We start from the raw sequence: 20,954 nt of genomic DNA, 5'->3' as shown, positions 1-20,954 counted from the left end.
ACACTTTATCTGCTACTAACCATTAGAGAAAATTGTCAAAATTAAAGCAACTGCATGAAACCATAAGGAATGAACTCACAAAGGTAGCAGAGGACAAGAAAATTATGTAATTTCAAATGCTGCCAAAAAAAAATTTTTCTTTATTAACATTCACCCCAAAAGGAAGCCATAGCCAATAACAGAAGAGCCATTTAATTTTTTTTTTTTAAGAAAAAAAGGAAAGTAAGAATGGGGGAGGGAAGAGAAAGAGAGGGGAAGAGAAGGTATCAGAATGGAAGGGGGCAGGAAGAGGAAGGAAGAAAGAAGCACACGTCTGTAAGTCCTAACCTGAGAGCAAAACCATGGCTGTCAATTTAAGAACTTTTACTTCTGCACTACCATACGTGTCTAGAATCTTCTTACATGCCTTTCCAAAGCATTATTTTTACCACAATCATACTTTTAGTCCAGACATTAATATGTCATTGGTTAAATTTTACCATTATCCACCAGCTAAGAGAACTATTCTTAGTACCTGCAGGTATAGATTTTTACAAATGCATTTTAGGTAAAAACTCCCTCCTTTCTCGGTTGATCTATTAATTATTCTGCTTGCTGTTCATGTGGAAGCAGGACTGAAAGGCAGATCCCACTTAGATGCTGGGTTTTCTATCTCTAAGGATCCAGGTTCCACCCTCAAAAGAACACAAAGCAAAGCACTATTGTTGAAGAACTTTTAAAAATTAGAAGGGTCGAGAGAAGAAAACTGCATGTCCTAGGATAACTGTGATAGGCTCCACTTAATGCAGTTCCGAACATCGTGGAATCAGAGGTATCTCAAAAACATCATAAATCTGAGAGGGAAGTTTTCTACTAGAAGGAACTCAATATTTTGGCTTAGCTCCATGTTCCATATCTTTAAAAATGTGTTGTATCAGTTTGTCTGTGTTGCCTATCAAAACATGTGAATTCAAAATGGTCCATGTCATGAAGATTCTTAAAGCTACTTTACCACAAACAGCCACTGTGCGAGGTTCCCTATGATCCACCCTACCTTGCCCCAACAGCACAAGTGGACTCATGAGTCAGAACCCCACTGTATTAAGTCTTCTGTGTCAAAGCCCTTGAAGACTATATTTTAAAGCAAGACTTAGAAAATTCTTTGCTGCCTATGAAATCATAAATGTTTGAGGTTATGAATATCCCAGTCACCCAGATTTAATCATTATGCACTGTATGCTTGGATCAAAATATCACATGTACACCATAAATATGTACAACTATTGTGTATTCATAAAAATTTTAAAATAAATATTTTTAGTAGGAAAAAAATGTTACTAAATCATCCCCTAACAATGGTAATTGAAAAATGGAGACAGCAAAATGGCATGCATACGTGATCCTATACGTGTAAAATCATGTGTGGAAAGATGTGTATGTGTGTATGTTCACACACACACACCTTGGTATATCCATATATGCTTATAGGTCTAAAGAGAGGTTTGCTTTCTTCTTTCTACCTTCCTGCATTATTTGAATTTTGTGCAACAAAAAACTATTATTACTTTGTGAATGCTAGCAAGCAAGAAAGGATAAAAGTCGTATAATCCAACAGGTAGCACGTGAATTTAGTGTGTCTTTGCAACTATTTCCCCTTGCCCCCACTCTTGCCTTCCCTGATTTACCTCACCTAGTCATGCCCCGGCATGAAGAATGCCCAGTCACACACGTTTTAGCAAAATATTTTATTTGCCCTTTTGTGTCCTTATAATTGTGCTCAGTTTACCATGAGTAAATGTTCTGCCTTCACATCTACAGACCTGCTGTATCTTCAGCTGCTCATCCTTGCTAGTACAGCACAGAGCACACAGACGACTAAAGCAGTGTTTACTGGGTTTACAATCCAGCAGCAATTTAAAATTAAGGAAGCATGTCCTAGAGGCACAGATCATAAATCTGATTTGGTTTGTAGGGTTGGGTAAAACAGGAGCCTGGGGTGAAAAAAACGCAACCCCATAACATCGCTTCTAAAGAGGCCATTTGGTACTGTGGAAAGAAGCGTTAGAGTCACCTGAATAGAAGCTCTGCAATTTTAACGTTTGCTGTGCCACTTTCAGCATCTCAAGCTGAAACAGGCAGAGGGGTCCTTGGTTAAACAATATGTGCCTCAATTTACTCATCTGTAAAACGGTGATCATGAAGAAAAATCTTTCTGTTTCCTAACAAAGCAAGACAGAAGATTTATCAAAGTATCTCTAGGAAGATGCAGACTTGAACTAAATATTTATTGGGTATCTATTATTGCTAGACATGTGTTGCACGCATTCCTGTATAACTGTCTAAGAGGAAAGAACTGGAGATGGGGTCATAAGGAAGAATCTGGTTAAGGTGCCATTTGTTTCTTTCTGAACTGCAAGGCGCTTCATCTGTCTGTCCCTCTGTTTCTCCATTTTACAAATACGAATTACTACATATGTGCCTAAGGGATGTGAGAATTAAGTAATATAATTTACTTTAAAGTGTAAAATGATATACAAATATGTGATAAAATACACAAACGTGGAATATACAACTCTTAGAATTTTAGAGCTATTATTACAATTAATATTGACAGATCTACATTGGTCAAACCTTACTCTAATACTGTCTGTCTGACTGAGCTCTACATTTAAGTCTTGTTTTTAGCTTAGACTAAATAAGTTTTCTGCCAAAAAATATTTTGAAATATACGAAAATTTACATGCAGAATAATTTCTCATTCTCAAATAACCATCCCACCTATCAAATAATATTCTAGCCATTATTTTTAAATAATATTCCTTTTTAATCACATCAGTTTGAGTGATATTTTATTGATATATACCACTTATATGGCATTTTTCTCATTTTGTATCCAATATTAACTTGTTAATCTTCATATATTCTTCAAAGATAAAATTTTCTGACAGACTACTTTCATGTTTTATAATAAAAACCTAATTATTAATAAATAGTACATGAAAATGTCTCAATTGCTACTTGATGTAGTTATACAAGAAAAAGTATTTTGCAAGCCAGCATGAACATATGGGCAGAGAGTGAAAGCAAGAATGATTTATTCCTCTAAGAAAGTAGCACGTGGGGGAGTCCTAGGAAAATTGGAAATTGACATGGTTTTCTTTAAGATTTCTATATCCCCATTTGGTAGCCCAATTCCCTCTTGGAACTCTCACCTTTGCAGCACTGACATTTAAGTAGCATCTAGTTAATCTGGTAAAATAATTCAAGCTACTAGGTTAATATACATCCAAGAAGGTTACAAATGACACTGCTTTAAAGTGCTTTTTTCCAGAGATTAACCGAAAGGACAGAAAGTATTTATGGGATGTTTAGACATTTTGCAGGCTATTTTTATGTCCCTAAAATCTATAATTAGGTACAAAAAGTTTTATGAGAAGAGCAAAACCACTGGTAAGAAAAGAAAGCCTTTTTAGATACTTTCTGGACAGCATGTTATCTCTCCATAAATAAAAAATAATTGTACTCTTTCTAAGACTGAAGTCAAATATCCAATATACCTGAGTGCTTACACAAATCAGAATGACAGCCACCAAATCATTGTATTAGGTTGGTGCAAAAGTAATTGCAGTTTTGGCCATTGAAAGTAATGACAAAAACCGCATTTGCACCAACCATATACAATATATATATATTATATATTTTATATATTATATATATTGTCATGTAATAATATATATTTTTATATATAATATATAATATATTTTTATATATAATATATAATATATAATATATTTTTATATATAATATATAATATATAATATATTTTATATATAATATATAATATATAATATATTTTATATTATATAATATATAATATATAATATATTTTATATTATATAATATATAATATATTTTTATATTATATATTATATATTTTTATATAATATATAATATAATATATAATATATACATATTATATATGTATATTCTATATATATCCTATATTCTATATTATATATTGTATATATATTCTATATTATATATTATATATACTATATATTATATATTATATAGTATATATACTATATATTATATATCTTATATATACAATATAGTATATATATTCTATATTATATATATCCTATATTTTATATATAATATATAACATATATTATATGTATATTATATGTACATTATATATTATATATATTATATGTATATTATATGTACATAATATATATTATATATTATATGTATATTATAGGTATATTATATGTATATTTTATATATAATATATGTATATTTTATATATATGTATATTTAATATATGTATATATATTCATGTTTCTTTTAAATGGCCCTTAAAGGAAAATAATAAAACCTTTGGAGGTCTGGCAGCATAGAGTGATACGGTTTCCTAAAATGAGGTAAATATCCTTGAAATCTTTTGGATTCTAGTCCTTACAGATTGCTACATGTTGAAGTGCTCCTGGAACCACATTAGAATCTCTGTTCATTTCAACCTACACTCATTCCCCAGATGTTTTTATCCAGCGTCTTGATTTTAAATAGCTTCTATATAATGATGACTTCCAAATGTGTATCTTCAGTCTGGCCCCTCCCGCAAACTCCAAACTCATATTTGCAGCTTCCTACTTAACATCTCCACTTGGATGTCCTAATAATCAACTCAAATTTCACATGGCTGTGCTGACCTGAAATCAGTCTGAGCTGTTTTGCTTAAATACAGCACTGTCCCTTGGTAAAGGCATGAGACACGATAACCAAGAGTATCACTTTATAGCCATGGTCTGAGGAGTTTCAGGGAGGTGGGTACCAGCTTGTCAGCATTGCTTGTTAGTAACAGTGCAATGGATGATTTGCACCTGGTCTTGGTGAGACTCTGGGGAGCTATGTCGCTGGAACTGGTTACGCAGGAAACACATCCCTATGTGACCAGCAAGATATAAGAAGCCCAGGCTGACACCCCATTTTAGGCTATTTGGTTCCAAAATGTTCCATGCACACATCAGTGGTTCTTGATTCAAGAGAGGAGTGTCCTGGTATGGCCTTGCAGAGGAAGTATCACTGGAGCTGGCACTGGCCTCTGCAGACCCCTTGCTGTCATGCAGCCTTTGCCTCTGATGCATGGCTTTACTTGGGTACTGCTGCTATATGTCTATCATTTTCCTGCAATAAACTGTGGATCTGTAAGCCCTGCTATGTGGCATCCCATCAATCTTCCTCAATAACTAAAGCATGTATAACTGACACAATTAGTGCAATGTCCAAAGCTAAGCTCCTGACATTATGCCCAAAACCAGTTCTTCTTCACTCTTTCCCATCTCAGGAAAGTGGGAGCCCCATTCTGTTCATTCCCTGGGCCAAAAATCTTGGGGTTGTCCTTGACTCCTCTCCCTTGCACTGCACCTCTGGTCAATCAGCAAACCCTATTAGCTTTCCTTCCAAAATACATCCAGAATCTGATCGTATCTCACAATCTCTTAGGTCAAGCCCCCCTCATTTCTTACCAGGATTATTACAACAGCCTCCTGCCTGCCTCCCCTGTTTCTACTCACTGCCTTGTGTGGTCTATTTTCAACACCACAGCCAGGGAAATCCTCTTGAAATGTAAGCCGGAGCTGGATACTTATCTGCACCAAAAAGCCGAACTCCTTATGATGATGACTTCCAGGGCCCTACATGACCTGGCCCCCATTACCTGCCTGACATCACCTTCTACCTCTCCATCCCAGCATCCTTGTAGTTCTTCTACATGCCAGGAACTCTCCCCTCGGTGAGAACCTCTGTATGTGGTGAGCATTCTGCCTAAGTGTTATTCCCCAGACAGCTACTTGGCTATTTCCCTCACTCTTTACTTAAAAGTCACCTTATTAGTGAAGCCTCCTTAGTGACCATATCTGGAATTAATCACCAACGCCATCCAACATTTCCAAGCCCTCTCCACTGCTTTACTTTTTCTCCCAAAACTTGTTCTATCAAACATATTACCTTCCCCAGCAAATGTAAACTCACGGATGGTACAAATTTTCTTCTGATTTTATTCTCCACTGTCTTTCAGCACTTAGGACAATGTACACAGTAGGCATTCAACAAATGCTTTTGAATGAATGAATGATTATGGAATTAATATAAAACAATGTTTTGTTTTGTTTTTAAAGGCCACTATCACTGGTATTCTAGAGAAGGCATGTTTATTTATTTATCCTGTAGCTCCGAGTATCCTCTGCTACACAGCCAAGTGCCCACAAAACTGACACCAAGTGGAGGAGTAGGCCTAGGATAAAGCCCACCTCCCTGGTATGGAACAATGCTCCATGGTCTACTTTGTCAAACCTGCTCATGCCCCTGCCCCTCACACCCAGATATTCAGTTACTGGAGCATACCATGCCCATTCTGCTTAGAATGTCCACTATTCCCCTCGTCTTCCCCTAGAGCACTATGAGGCACCTTAAAATCAAGTTTCCTTTCACATCTTCTGTATCTTCCTCTCATTAAATGCTTAATTTCTTCCTCAGGGCCCCAACACGTAGGGATTCCAGCTCAAGTCTGTAAGTATTTCTACGGTAATGCTATTGTACCTATGTTAATAGCTATCTCCTTTGATTGACATGTAGGAAGAAGCGCCTTGAGAGAAGCCATGTGTTTTTTTTCCATCATCTTAAATGGCTCAACACCCACCATTGAGGTAAACACATTGGAGGTCCTCAGTAAATGCCACTGGATGAACGAAAATGAGATGCCTAGTATAAAGAGAAGATAATCCCTTCAGCAGGAAGACTCTGAAGATCTAGACCTGAGGCCACCAGATGACCTTGTCCAAACATGTCAGTTTCTTCACCACAAAACAGATAGAATATCTTCCCAACCTAGCTCAAGAAGGAGTGGGGCTCAAATTAGAAAACAAAAAAGTCAAATGTCCTATAAGATATTTTTATTGTCAATATATAGATCATAGATTTCACTCTATCTTTTAACCTTATAATTGATTCAACTAACACAGAAATAAATGAAGACCAGATATGTCTAATGTGACCATCCTCTACTGGTTTGCCACATTTAAATGGGAAAATGCTGATATAATCCTGTTGTCCAGAAAGAATATTAAGATTCAGTTTATATACTTTTCATTTTGGAAAGAAAGATATGCTATATGTACAGAGAACTATAATATTCATTATACCTTAACATATGGAATAACAGGAAACTTTACATCAAATATTTATTAAATTATTTTTAAAAGCAGTAAATACCAGAAGTAAGTGCTAGAGTTTATCCAAACATTTGAATGACAGTTCTTCCACCATGCACTCTTGGAAACTGAAGCGCCCCTTACTTCAGTTTCCCTATAAGGTAAAAGCAGATAATAAGGCACCTACCTATTACGGTGGTTTAAGAGAGTTATGTGAGATAATATAGGTAAATAGTTAGAATAATGCCTTGCACATAGTAAGTGCCAATTAAATTTTGGCTATTGTTAATGGTATCCGTGGCTCTTAAAATTTAAACAGGCGGGGTGCAGTGGCTCACATCTGTAATCTCAGCTCTTTGGGAGGCTGAGGCAGGTGGATCACCTGAGGTCGGGAGTTCGAGACCAGCCTGACCAATACGGAGAAACCCCGTCTCTACTAAAAATACAAAATTAGCTGGCCGTGGTGGCACATGCCTGCAATCCCAGCTACTCAGGAGGCTGAGGTAGGAGAATCACTTGAACCCAAGAGGCAGAGGTTGCAGTGAGCCGAGATCACGCCATTGCACTCCAGGCTGGGCAACAAGAGCGAAACTCTGTTTCAAAATAAAAAAAAAAAAAGAAAAAGAAACCTGAACAATTTGCCATATATGTTTCTGTACTGACATCACATTAGTTTAAATGTAATGGGAGTTGAAAATCATATTGCTCAAAACATGTCAGATTGGCAAAGGTATCTGTTTTGATGTCTTTGCCCCTCCTCAACCTTGTCTTGAAGGTCCAGTGCCAAAAACAACACTTAGTACATACACACATGCTTCTATAACAAAAGAAGCAGTTGATCTCATCTGCCTTAATGCTCCATTACCCATATCTTCCCTCACCTCCCCAACCCCACCCTGAGACACAACCACAGCATGAAATCAAGTTGCTATAGTCCAATCAGAGGAGTAATTAATAACCTAATGCCTGAGACCAGATTAGACTAACTGCACCTGATATTGGCCCACTGTCAGACCACTCACTTCCTCCTCTGTCCTCACTCTCCATAATATGTAGCAGAATTTCTTCAACAACACTAGAACTGAAATGCTAACTACTCCAACTGTTTCCCCCCTCAGCACTGAAAGAAGGTAAGCTCCAAAAGAGCAGAGACTTCTAGGAAAAATGCCTGACCAAAAGATTCTGAAGATCTGAACTCTCATCCGAATGATGCTATCTAATCCTTAATGTTGTGGTATTGCTGCCCAATAGATAGACTTACGAGGTTTTAAGGGATGATTAAATGGGAAAATAAATGTGAAAAAAAAGATTGGGAAATTTATAAGAATCATATGAAGGAAGTGTAATTCTAATATATGATTATTGGCTTATTTACCTTCCTCCCTGTTTACACACTAATCTTGATCCTTGAAGTCATGGCATTGTAATGATTTCTTTTATCAAAATAAATTATGTTTAAAAAGAAAAAATGATTATCAAAACCATTGGATTATAAAGGTGAACAGTGTAAGAGTAAATAAAAGGTAATTTCTGCACTGAAAAATATTGAATTGATATAAAAAAGATTTTTATGAAGCAAAAATAATCAGCAGAGAAAATTAATAAAGCTAAAATGGATTGCCAATGCAGAGCATAAAGAAAAAAATTAGGTCATATTTTGATTTCTGCTTGTTTCCATTTCAAAGACAATGTAGCAAAAAGTGATCAGTATTCACCACCAGATTGCTCCTACCTGCCATGACCTTCAAGTTATCTTTAGAGTTCTGAATAAATCTGGGTAATACTGGACGGTGAGACCATTTTCAAATTCACACATAATTTCTTCCAGTGTTGTCCTGAAACGCTGGTCATGGTTTTTTTTTTTTTTTCCTGTCCTGTCCAACCAAGCATCTCACTCCAGGTGATAAGAATGCAACTACATGAATCAGAGGCTACAATCCAATGAAGGGACAAGAGAGGAAAACAATAACCACAGAAAACAAATCTAACACTTTCTGAGCACCGAAACACTTTATGTGGATTATCTCTTTACCTCACAACAACCCTACTTGATAGATACTCTTTCCTCATTCCAGATAGATCATTTAAGGCTTAAAGAGGAAAACTACTTGTTTAAGATGACACTTCTAATAAAGCACTCAACTGCAGTTCAAAACGCATCCTGCCTGCTCTCAAAGTTGAAGCTTTTACTGCTACACCATGCTGCCTCCACCAAGATATCCAAGAGCTCTTCTTCAGAAACCGAGGGAAGTGGGGATTTTTCAAAGATTTTTAGTACCTCATAGGTCTATGTGGCCCAAAGAGAGAATGAAGTGAAAGTGATCTTACATGGGACCAGGGAAGGGGGCAGTTGGGACAATAATATTAGCTGACACTTTCACTGCCAATACTAAAAAGGTCACCATCATCTAAAAATCATAGAGAATTCAGTATATAAGTGAACAGCATTTTCAAAACTTAAGGCAAATTTTCAGATGCAGAAATTTCTGAATGCGGTAGAAACTAAATAGGTGTCAGAGAACACTAGTTTTGATATCTTTCAATAAAACTTGAATAAGAACGTGTATGCATATGCTGTAAATTGAGAGGACTATGAAGGGCAGAGATAGTATCTTGAGATCCATGGCAAGAGGAAATGAGAGAAAGGGTCCTCAAACAAAAAGCAGGATTAAAGCCAACAATAATTTTTCCCCTCAGTCCACTATTCCAACTCATTCAAACAATGTAAAACCAAATATGAAATAAGAAAGAACATGCTCAGATGATGACTCACAGATAATTTCCATTCCAATTTGAATTAAATCAGGTAAGAAAAGTGGGCTCTATAGGAAAACAAATGTGTATACAATTAAAACATTTTCAACAACCAGTCAAGTCACTCCTTGTGAGAAAATTCTAAAGTTTTCTTCTTCACTAAGATCCCGATTTGACCAATGAATTGTTTTATGCAAAAGAAATCTACAAAAACCAGAATACTGCCATCTCTAAAGAGCCTAACTGAAACTTACTGTGATTAATTTTTAAAACAAAAATGTTTTTCTGTAAGGATATTGTTCTGCTATTATAAAGTAAATTAGAACTAAGTTAGTTTTATTCAAAAACTCTTTTTCTGTGTACTAGTAAATTTCTCTTAGCTGGGGGTTAGAGAAGCAATAATTAATCACTTATCTGCAGATACTTTAAAAAGGTAGTCATCAAAGTTATACCTTGGCTTCAGAGGTAAGCTACAACTTATTGACCTGAGCGGTACCCATCTCAAGAGGGTCACATCATGAATTCATCTTTTCTATCTTATGATGGCCACTGCCAAGATTAAAGCACATTTCTGTATATTTTGTTTTCCTCCCCTTTGCCACAGCAATGTTTCTCAGTTGACAATGATTATCCTAACCATGAGGACCTTCAGCGTGGTAACCCCAACCCCATGGATGTCCACTGGCACTTCTAAGACAGGGCAAAGGGAAAGAAAGCAGGAAGACAACAGGAAAGAAATACAGAAGAACAGAAGCAGAAGAGGATGTGAAGGAACACTGGGAGAGAGAACTAAAAGAGGAAGAGAAGAAAAAGTGGCAGAAGTGAGAATATAGGCAGGAGAAGTGGAAATGAGACAAAGAAACTGGGGAAAAGAGCTATATGTTAAGGCAAATGAGGTGGGATAGGGCTCCCACCAGCACACCTGTAATACACTGGGCTACAAGTTGTCTCCTCCTATCACTTTATTTCCCATTTGGGGGAACAGAGTAACAACTCCTCCCATGCCATTACCTGAATGAGTTCATCCAGCTCCGTCGAATTGACACAGGAATGTTGGGATATGAATGTTTGCTTCTGGATCACAATGGTGGTCCTCTGTGAAATCTCATGAGGCTGCTCCAATGCTTTGAACACGGTGGCTCCGATGATCAGATAGAGGACAACCACCAGGAATATCGTGGAGACCGTCTTCCATTTCATAACATTAATGGTCGTGTCACTCTCCACCCGGGAAGCAAGCACTGTGGGTTTCGTGGAAAACGAGAGCCTCGGTTTGGAGTTCTGAGCGGCAGATTTAGGATCCAGCAAGTCAGGTGCCGCCACTGACAACAACAGAGAATGAGGGTTAGGTTGGAGGAGATGAGAAGGGAATTGGTCGGGCTTCTTCTTTAAGGGGTCAGAGAAGGTTGATTGAATTCCGCTCGCTCTCCTAGTGGAAGCTCTGGAACCCAAACCAGGAGTGCTGTCACTAGATCTCAGGACCACATATATGGGTTCAAGGAAAGGGGGCTGGATCTGTGCTCTCTGCTGCTATTGGAGTTCAAAATGAGAGGAAAAAAACTGGAGTCGAACCAAGAAACTTCAAAAAAAGAAAAGAATGCCTGAGGGCTTCTTAATCAATTTCTAAATTTACATCTGTCCACTGTGCCGGTCCACAAAGAGATACTGAACTCCTAAGAGTTGATGGTACTTAACTAGATATTTGAATACTCAGGAAGACGGCTCATGGTTATTCTCGTTCTCAAGAACTTTATATCACAAGCAAGCAATATAAAGAACATTCTCTATTTTCATTTTAAAATTTATTACAATAAATGAATTGCATTATAAAAGAATTTGTGATCCAAACATTGTTACTCAAAATAAATCATTCATCATTTTCTGGTAAAACATGGTGGTAAATAAACCACTCGATGGTCGAATCTTGTCTTTTTGCCTGTCCTCCAAAGTGGGCTCATGATGAAACATTCTCTGTATTTTGTTTTTCAATCTTGGACATGTTTTACCAATAAAAGTTACTGCTAATCATTGTGTCAATCCTAGGCACAACCTAGAGAAGACAAGTAACTTCCTTTTCAAATGTGAACAATATCAAGAAAAAAATGAAAACCGTGGCTCACACCTTGACTGTCTACATGCTCTGTTCAAAGCTAATTGCTCCATTAGAGTGGATTTATATGGTTCCCTAACAAATTGCCATATAGTCGGAGGTGACTATAAATCCATTTATTATTTATCACAGCTGTTCAAAAATATCATTAATGGATTTCTTTTTCAAAAATATAAGAGATACTAGACTTCTACTTGCTAAGAGGAAAATAAAACACCTACTACAGGACATTTTGTGGAAAGACAACATTGAACTAAAAAAGGTTAATAGAATGGCCGAAAAATAAGACTTTTAAAAACCATCAACTCAAACAGAATAATCAGCTTAAAGTCCATAATTGCTACAGATTTCAGTAAACTTGCTATCGTGTATATAATATAGATTATAAAATGATAATCTTATCTAAAACACACTTTCAGGTAAGTATATAAGAAATCTCCATGGAATTGCACTCAAATACCCTACAGGCATCTGAAATTACTTCAGTATGAGAAGCTAATAAAAAATGCCAGTTTTCACATGGCTACCTACCCTGCCCTCTTACCTAACACTGTGAGTTAATTGTAGGCTACCATAGTTTTAATTCATAAAATACATCTGTAATTCCCCATCAAAAAGAAGCTTTGCAAACAAAGATATTTAAAACACTAGACCTAAGTAGTGTTGTAAAATGATGGCAGAAGGCAGGATCCTCAGTCAGCAAAGCTCCAAATGGATCTGATTTGGAAGAGATGAAATTAGAGCTGTGATGAGGTTTCTGTACCCATGGCTCCAAGTGGAGATTCCATGTACATATAGCTTATTACAGCAATTTCCTAAGGTTCAACCTACTACACAGAGGAATGCACATGTTTCTCTCCTGATACATTCACCTGTTCCAAATAAAGCCACAAGCTAGTAGATACCTTTAAAATATTTATAAAGACACCTTCACTCAAAATTAGCACTGGGCATGTGTTTAATGCTATAATTAAAAAAAACTGTTAAAATGGAAGTGCTGATAATAGCTAAAATCACTATAATCTGCAGACTCCCCACAACCTCCTAGCTGCTTAGTGAGTCTGAGTGAAAAACAAAAGTCATAATTTAAAATTTAGCCATCTTTGGAACAAAAACAACAAAAAAATCACATAGAAGTTCCACAATTATCTCTCTAAATGAAGATTTCCAAGTCTCTCCTCCTCAGATCTCTGTGCTCTCCTATTTGTGATTTTTCACATCAGTGGTTTACACTCTGCAGAACCAGAAAGCACTAAGACTGTTTACCTTGATGGCACCAAATCCCAATCTGAAATTCCATTAAGACATTGCCACATGGCCATTATATGCTTTTTGGGGAAAGGGGCAGGTATTTTTAAGAGTGTGTGTGTGTGTGTGTGTGTGTGTGTGTGTGTGTGCATTAACCTAATACATTTCCAGAAGGAGTTTAATTCTTTTAAGCTGTTGCCTTATTTTTTAATTAGCAGAAATATATGTAATGTACATTTGGCAGACAGAATGGACAGAAACTGATGAAATACCAAAATAATATTTTTAAAAAATAAAAGCAGACTTTTATCTTTAATACAGGGAACCTCTTGGTTTCCACCTCCACGCCATTTGATGTATGATCAGGGAGAGAAGCTGCCCCTTCCACACACACTCAGCACCGTCACTACCCACTCCCCTCCCCCAGCTCATCACAGTCTTCTGTTAATCCCGGTCTTCTGTTCTCACCCAGATATGTCTTCGCTCCAGCGGCGACTGACCACTGAATAGCAGCGGAAGCAAGCTTTTTTCAGCACCACTGCCTGTCCCACCAGGCAATGGGCAACAAGTGTGACCGGGGTCACCATGAGTCCTGCCTGCCGGCTACTCCCAAGGGCTGACCCTCCTTCTCCATGGGAAACTCCCCCAAGGTGTTCCAAACCCATACCTCAGGCAGATGCAAAAACCCCGGGCACCGGCGGGAGAGGGGGGAGAAGCGGCGTGGAGAGGATCTGGCAAGGGTTTGCCTCCAAATCCAGATTATGACCCAACACTTTGGACGCGAAGCGAAGATGGGAAACGGCCGCTTGCTGAGAGGGGGCATTTGCAGTCCTCCCAGAAAAGGCTGGGGCAGGAGAGCGTGCGGCCAGAGGGGTGGGGGTACCGGAGGGGGGGTCTCACCTCCTGCTCTATAGCCGGGTCTCTCCCGCGAGGCGCTGGGAAGCATGAGGCATGCAGCATTCAAAATGTTTTTTGAAAAAGACGGACTTGAAGCTTTTTTTTACAAACACGCCATTGTACTCACTTCTTATTCAGAGACGGGCTGCGCGCTCCGAGCTGCACGGGCAGGCATTTTCCCCGGCTTTGTTTTACAAGGTGGGGAGAGCGGGGCTGGACGCGGGAGGGGGCGGGGGGGGGAGCGTGAGAAGAAACGAAATCGCGGGAAGGAGGGGACACCGGCGGGCTGGGCAGAGGGCGAGGCGGAGGCCAAGTTGGGCTTGGGCGCCGCCGCCCCCGCGCGCGCCTGCTGCCGGGCCCGGGTCACCCGGAGAGCGCGGGCGACCCGGGTCCCGCGCCTGCCCGCCGCCGCCGCCGCCGCCGCCGCCGCCACGCGCTCAGCCCCGGGCTGCTCGCTGGCCCGGCCCCGGCACGGCGCGGCGCGGGGGCGGTGGGTGCAGCCCCAGCTGCCGTGCGCCCCGGCGTCTTTGTGCGCGAGCCTCGTTCAGCCCCTCTTCGCATGTCTTTGTGTGTCTCCCCCCGCAATGCCCTCCGTGCCCCGCGGGGGGTGTGTGGCACGGTCCGGGCGCCCGCAGCTCTGCAGCCCTCCGCTGCTCTCCCTTCCCGGCTCGCTCCTGTCGCCCCTTGCCGGCTCGTTTCCCTCCTTTCGGAACTCCCTCCTCTTCGCCTCCTCCCCCTCCTGTCTCACCGCCAGGGCTTGCTTCCCCGCACCTCCTCCTAGCCCTACCCTTGCCTGCGTCGCCCCTGCAAGATGCTCCCTTCTAAAGATCCTCTCTTCCCTCTTCCTGGGGGCACAACCCCTTGGCTCACCTGCTGCCTCCTCCCCTCTCAGCCCCTTCCACTAACCCCCATCCCCACCCCGCAAAATCCTCACTCTCGCTGTCTGGCATCCACATCACACTGCGCTGCATCCTATCTCCTTCCCGACCAGCGTTCGGGGTGTGGGACCGGGTGTGGGACCAAGCTCTGGGACGCGAGTCCTTGGACCCCTGCACTAGGGCGTCCTCCTCGCCCTCGTGGCCCCCCAGACCTGTACAGGGAAGTGTCCCCGTTGGCGCCTTGAGAGCCCTGGAGTAGGGGAGGTAATGAAGACCCTGGCTTCTTCCAGTCTACACCTTCGGGAAGGGTTAAGGAGTCACCAGCTCGCCCCACTTCACCTCCGGCGGTGCTGGACATGAGCTGGGCGCTATAATCTGCAGAACGTCCGGGACCGAAAAGGATGGGGAACGCACCTGGAGCCAGGGCGAAGACATCTAGAGATGCAAAGGGAATGGAAGAAAACCCGGTTAGGTTCTCTCAGAGCAAGACCCCTTTGCTGGAAACATAGGTTTCTAAGCGCGGTGGGTGGGAGCAGCAGGGTGGGAGAACTCAGACTCCAGCCTGAACTTAGCGCTCCCCGACCTCCTCCCCATCAGGATCCGTATTTGGCAGGTACCAGACCCCGCCCAAACTCCAAGACCCCGGCGTAGGGACAGCCAAACTCGCAGCGACAGGGGGACGGAACGGAACCCACCAAGGAGGGGAAGAAAGCCAGGAGATCAGACGTTGCTGTCGTCGTAATAGGCGAATTCTCTAACAACACACGTGATGTAGTGGAACTTCAATCCGTTTCTAAACTCTCTTCCTTCCCACTTTCTCAGCGGGAATCCCCTGATGACCTCCACCCTCCCATCCCAACTGCTGTTTGCTAGAGTTTTTCTTCCATAACTGCTGCTCGGCCAGATTGGAGTATTTTCCCAGTTACAAGAACTTCTTAGTGAAAAATATAGACGTAATTGTAGGGGAAAAAAAGCTTGTAAATCTTTTGCAAAACTGTTACCGTCAATGATAAAAATGCAATTTTTTCTAGATTCCAGAATACATTCAGCACCTCTTTCCCCTATTAAAAAAAAATCTTCCTAATATCCTTCCTGCTGGAATTCAAACACATTTTTCTCAACTTATGTGCTCAAAAGTAATACAATCAGATGTCCTTTCTAAAATGTGAATCTGATCCTCTCACAATCCTTACAAAGTCTCTAGGTCACCTATAATGTGCTTCCTGATCTGGCTAAATCTTTTTCATTCTAAGTCTTCCTGGGCAGTTACCTTCCCTCAGTGCACACACCACACACACACCAACTTTACATGACTAAGGTATTTTATCAGTAAGGTTCTCTAGAGAAATGGAACATATGTACACACACACACACACACACACACACACACATTTGCGTGTACGTGTGTGGGGTAACAGATTTATTTTAAGGAATTGGCTCAGGATGATGGGGGCTGGAAGGTCCCTCTGAAATCTACAGGGCAGCTCTGGCAGGCTGGAAACTCAAGCAAGAGTCGATGCTTCAGTCTTAAGGCAGAATTTCTCCTTTTCCAGGAAATCTAATTTTTGGCTCACAATTGCTTGTGATATAGGCCCACCAGCATTACCTAGAGCAATCTCGTTTTGAAGTCTTACTGTAGATGCTGAACACATTTATGAAACACCTTCACAGCAACACTTAGATTTTAGATTCGTGTTTGATTAAATAACTGAACACTGTAGCCTAGTCAAGTTGACACATAAAACTAACCATCACAGGTGTTACCCTGCAAATCTCCATGCTGCCCAGAAATTTCCCTGGAATCCTGGCCAGTCAGGTGTTTTACTATTTGCTTCCCAGGTCAACTCGTCTTTCATCTATCTTTATACTTGTCACATGATGTTTTGCTTCTTTAAACTAGATTGTATGCTCAGTGAGGGCATAAACCATATCTCTCTGTTCACCATAATATCTGCAGTAACTAGCATCTGCTGCTAAATACGTGTTTGATAAACATCTGAGTGAAATCGTTATTCCTACTAAATAGCTGACATTTTCTTATATTCACCTGGTCTCCCTCCAGGTATTTGGAACCAGGGTATACCCTACATACATGAGAAATGAGATGAATTCACTATATTCTGAATCATTTTCTACCCTGTCTCATAGGCTCTTTGTTCTCCAGATGAAATTTCCTCAAATTTTTTTGAATATTATTTTCATTTTTCCCATTTTGTTCGCAATTCGATTATTCTTTTTCATTCCCCCCTCCGAGTTTTCTGCAAATTTAACCGCATCTTGCCCAGCACTAGTCCTCTGTCAAACTGGCTAATGCTTACTAGACTGGGAGATTAATAGTTTGAATATGCCTGTTTAATAAATTAAATATGTTTTGATATATGCTTGCATAGCGCTTCTGTTTTTCCAGACTCATGGAACTTAGGTCTCATCATGAATCCCAAATGCTGGATTGCCATCTTCCCTGCTTTTTGCTATCAATTCATACATAGCAGTTGTCCTCCACATTCCCCTTTGTATTATTTTCATTATTAGGCCCCACATTCATGTAGGGTGCTTGGGGGTTGGGGGAGAAGTGATGTAACTTACAGAGATGTTAAGATAAAAAGATAAAATTTCAGACTGTAACATTAACAGGAATCATCCCAACAAGCCAAATGCTCAGCCTCACAAATAATTTGAAAGAATCAAGAAACCACCCAGTCCTCCCACAGTCTGCCCCCGTTAAAAGCCCTCTTGTTCCAAATGTAGACTTACTCATGCTGTTTGAAGTAAGAGGGAAAATAATGTAGTATACTAATTTGTATGTCATTGCAGCTGGAGGAATGAGGAAATAGGATGGTTTATCCCATTTAGCTTTATTCCTGCATCACTCAGTGATATGGTTTGGATTTGTGTCCCTGCCCAAATCTCAAGTCAAATTGTAATCCTCAATGTTGGAGGATTGCCCTGGTGGGAGGTGATAGGGATCATGGGGCCAGACGTTCCCCTTGCTGTTCTGATAATGAGTTCTCATGACATCTGGTTGCTTAAAAATATGTAAGCACTTTTAATATCTGCAGTAACTAGCATCTGGTACTAAATATGTGTTTGATAAACATCTGAGTGAAATCATTCCTTCACTCTCTTCCTCCTGCTCCAGTCATATAAGATGTGCCTGGTTCCCCTTCACCTCCTGCCATGATTGTAAGTTTCCTGAGGTCTTTCCAACCATGCTGCCTGTACAGCCTGAAGAACTGTGAATCAATCCAACCTCTTTTCTTCGTAAATTACCCAGTCTCAGCTAGTCCTTTATAACAATGCAATAATGGACTAATTCACTCAATATATATAAGCCCCATCGAAAGTATAATAGAAAGAAAAGATGGAATACATTTATTTCATGCTGCAGGACTACTCAACACCTCTTAACTTTAATTTAATGAATAAGCAAACTGAAATTATATAATTAAAAAATTTAGTTCTCCAAAAATTCCATACTGCCCTTATTCTGGTGCTTTCAGATCTATTGTTCTGCTCCAACTAGCAGCATGAAATCTACAGGACTTCACTTTTATGTTTATTTTGATTTTTGACCTTGGCCTATTCAAAATGTCATAGTGAAAATTAAAATTAAAAAATGAGAATGTCACTGCCTTTTCTTGCAGTTCCAATCATATCTAGGATTTTGGAGTCAAAGAGACGTCTGTGGGTATTCTGCCTCTACCATTTCTGAGCCATGTGAATTTGAAGAAGTCACTTTTTATTTCTGAACATCAGTTTTCTCATCTATAAAATGGAGATAATACACTGAACTCACAAGAGATTGTTGTAAGAATCAAAGTGAGACAGCATTTATGTGTTCAGTATGTCCATTCCTGATATGGTTTGGCTCTGTGTCCCCACCCATATCTCACCTTGACTTGTAATCTCCATAATTCCCACATGTCAAGGGTGGGAACAGGTGGAGGTAAATGAATCATGGGGGCAGTTTCCCCCATGCTGTTCTCATGATAGTGAGTTAGTTTCATGAGATCTGATGGTTTTATAAGAATCTGGCATTTCCCCTACTGGCACTGATTCTCTCTCCTGCTGCCCTGGAAGAGGTGCCTTCTGCCATGACTGTAAGTTTCCTAAGGCCTCCCCAGCCATGCGGAACTATGAATTAATTAAACCTCTTTTTTATATAAATGACCCAATCTCAGACATTTCTTCATAGCATTGTGAGAACAGACCAATTCAGTTCTAAAAAGAGTTTTATTATCTCCTGCGTTTGATCAACCATATGAACCAGGGGAGCTCCTGACCAAGCAAGAACACCAATGAATTCCAACTCTATAATACAATCTTGTCCAGCCTGCGGCCTGCAGGCTACATGCAGCCCAGGATGGCTTTGAATGTGGCCCCACACAAATTCATAAACTTTCTTAAAACATTACGAGGTTTTTTTATGATTTGCTTTTAGCTCATCAGCTAACATTAGTGTTAGTGTATTTTATGTGAGGCCAAGACAATTATTCTTCTTCCAATGTGGCCCAAGGAAGCCAAAAGGCTGGACACCCTTGCAATGAATCTTGCCACTTATTTAATCTTCTGAGCAACACAATTGCACAGGTATGAGAAGATGAAAAATAAATCACATTCATCAGATATTTACTGAGTGCTTAAAATTCTGATAAGCCATAAGAAGAAGGCACGAGGTAAAGTGGGAGTATTTACTTCTAGAGGGTCAGGGAAGGCTGGTGTAAAGAAGTGATGTAAAAATTAGATTCTGAAGATGAGATGAGCAAGGGTGGAAAGGGAAAAGCATAATGGAAAGAAAGGGCTTCCCCAACAGAGAGAAGAGCTCGGAAGAAGACTGCAGTTGGAAGAAGCTGGGAGAATTTGGAAAGCTCAGAGAGTGAGGCTTGGTGGTGGACAGTAATCAAGCTGAAGAGGCAGGTAGAAACCAGGTCAGGTGGCATCTGGATTTTAATTAATGAGACCTGGATGAATTTTCATCGCAGAAGAAATCTCATCAAGTGCATTTTAAAAAAATCCCTCTGGTTGCTATGTGCAGAACAGGTAGAAGGTGAACAAAGAATGTAAGCATGTAGATAAGTGAATTTGGACATTATTGCTTTAGCCCAGGTGAGGGTTTCATAGTGATATTGTTGGGAGTAGATTGGAGAGTTGCCAGTAGATCAACAGGGCTCTGCGTCCCTTTGGATGTGGGGAGTGGGTGGTGACAGAGAGGGTAGGCATATTCCTAGAAGTTCCAGTTTACTAAAAACTCAGGGAGAGACAACAGTTAGGCAGTACTTCGATGAAATGTCTTTCTGATGTCCTTCCAAAGGCACTTACCACCCCTTCTCATACCTGTTGTGTTTTATATGAGACTCATCCCTGATTGTGAATGGAGTGTGTGTCTTGGGCCTCAACCAATATAGTCAGAATTTCTCAGCTTCTCAACTGGTTCAGGCATGGGCCTATGACACACTCAGAAAAGCAACTTTTGCTCTATACCGCTGACCTTGAGCCTGAAAGCCTTGGAGGCTACTATGCTAAGAGGAGAGGAGAAGCTGCCTGAGAGTGAAGCAATACAGAGCAAACAGAACCATGATGACCAAGTCCAGGTGATAACATTTGACCAATCCTCCATGTCAAACCACACCTTAAGCCACATACATATTCTTCTTGTTTAAGCCAGTTAGTGTTGAGATGTCTGACACTTGATATCAAGAGCCTTAATTGAAACATTGCAATGCAAGAAATAGGAGAAAATGACAAATAACTCAGCTCTGTGGGGGGTCCCTAAGTTGACCCCCGCAATGATTCCTGCCTCATAGTATTCAGGCCCTTGTGTTTCACCCCTCCCCTCGAGTGTGGCTGGATTTACTGACTCCTTCTGATAAATAG

General features: G+C 40.2%; 1 protein-coding gene and 1 long non-coding RNA gene across 8 annotated transcripts in view, besides 1 other annotated feature; one reads left to right on the top strand and one right to left on the bottom strand.

The window, feature by feature from the left end:
* Positions 1-20,954, bottom strand: part of KCNK2 (potassium two pore domain channel subfamily K member 2) — a 231,549-nt gene that overhangs the window by 139,454 nt on the left and 71,141 nt on the right. For 2 of the 7 annotated variants that reach the window (XM_017001249.2, NM_001017424.3), the window contains one exon: positions 10,959-11,269. In XM_017001249.2, coding sequence (XP_016856738.1) covers positions 10,959-11,269 — 311 coding nt within the window. Of the gene's footprint in view, positions 1-10,958; positions 11,270-13,773; positions 13,878-14,205; positions 14,901-15,494; positions 15,837-20,954 lie in introns of those variants that run through there. The other 5 variants (XM_011509524.3, XM_011509522.3, NM_001017425.3 and 2 more) reach the window with 5 other exon arrangements.
* Positions 14,020-14,542: an enhancer, noted in NCBI's record as "H3K4me1 hESC enhancer chr1:215256438-215256960 (GRCh37/hg19 assembly coordinates)". NCBI's record gives its function as "activates a minimal SCP1, AML or CMV promoter by ChIP-STARR-seq in naive H9 embryonic stem cells {active_cell/tissue: H9 hESC(naive)}" and the evidence as "EXISTENCE:reporter gene assay evidence [ECO:0000049][PMID:30033119]".
* Positions 15,313-17,455, top strand: LOC124904511 (uncharacterized). The gene is made up of 2 exons (XR_007066878.1): positions 15,313-15,547; positions 15,678-17,455. It is a non-coding gene; the product is annotated as an uncharacterized LOC124904511 (long non-coding RNA).

The sequence above is a fragment of the Homo sapiens genome, chromosome 1, assembly GCF_000001405.40.
Source record: "Homo sapiens chromosome 1, GRCh38.p14 Primary Assembly".
Classification (NCBI taxonomy): domain Eukaryota; kingdom Metazoa; phylum Chordata; class Mammalia; order Primates; family Hominidae; genus Homo; species Homo sapiens.
Note: the sequence above shows the minus strand (reverse complement) of the source record. Positions and strands in the feature narration are given on the sequence as shown.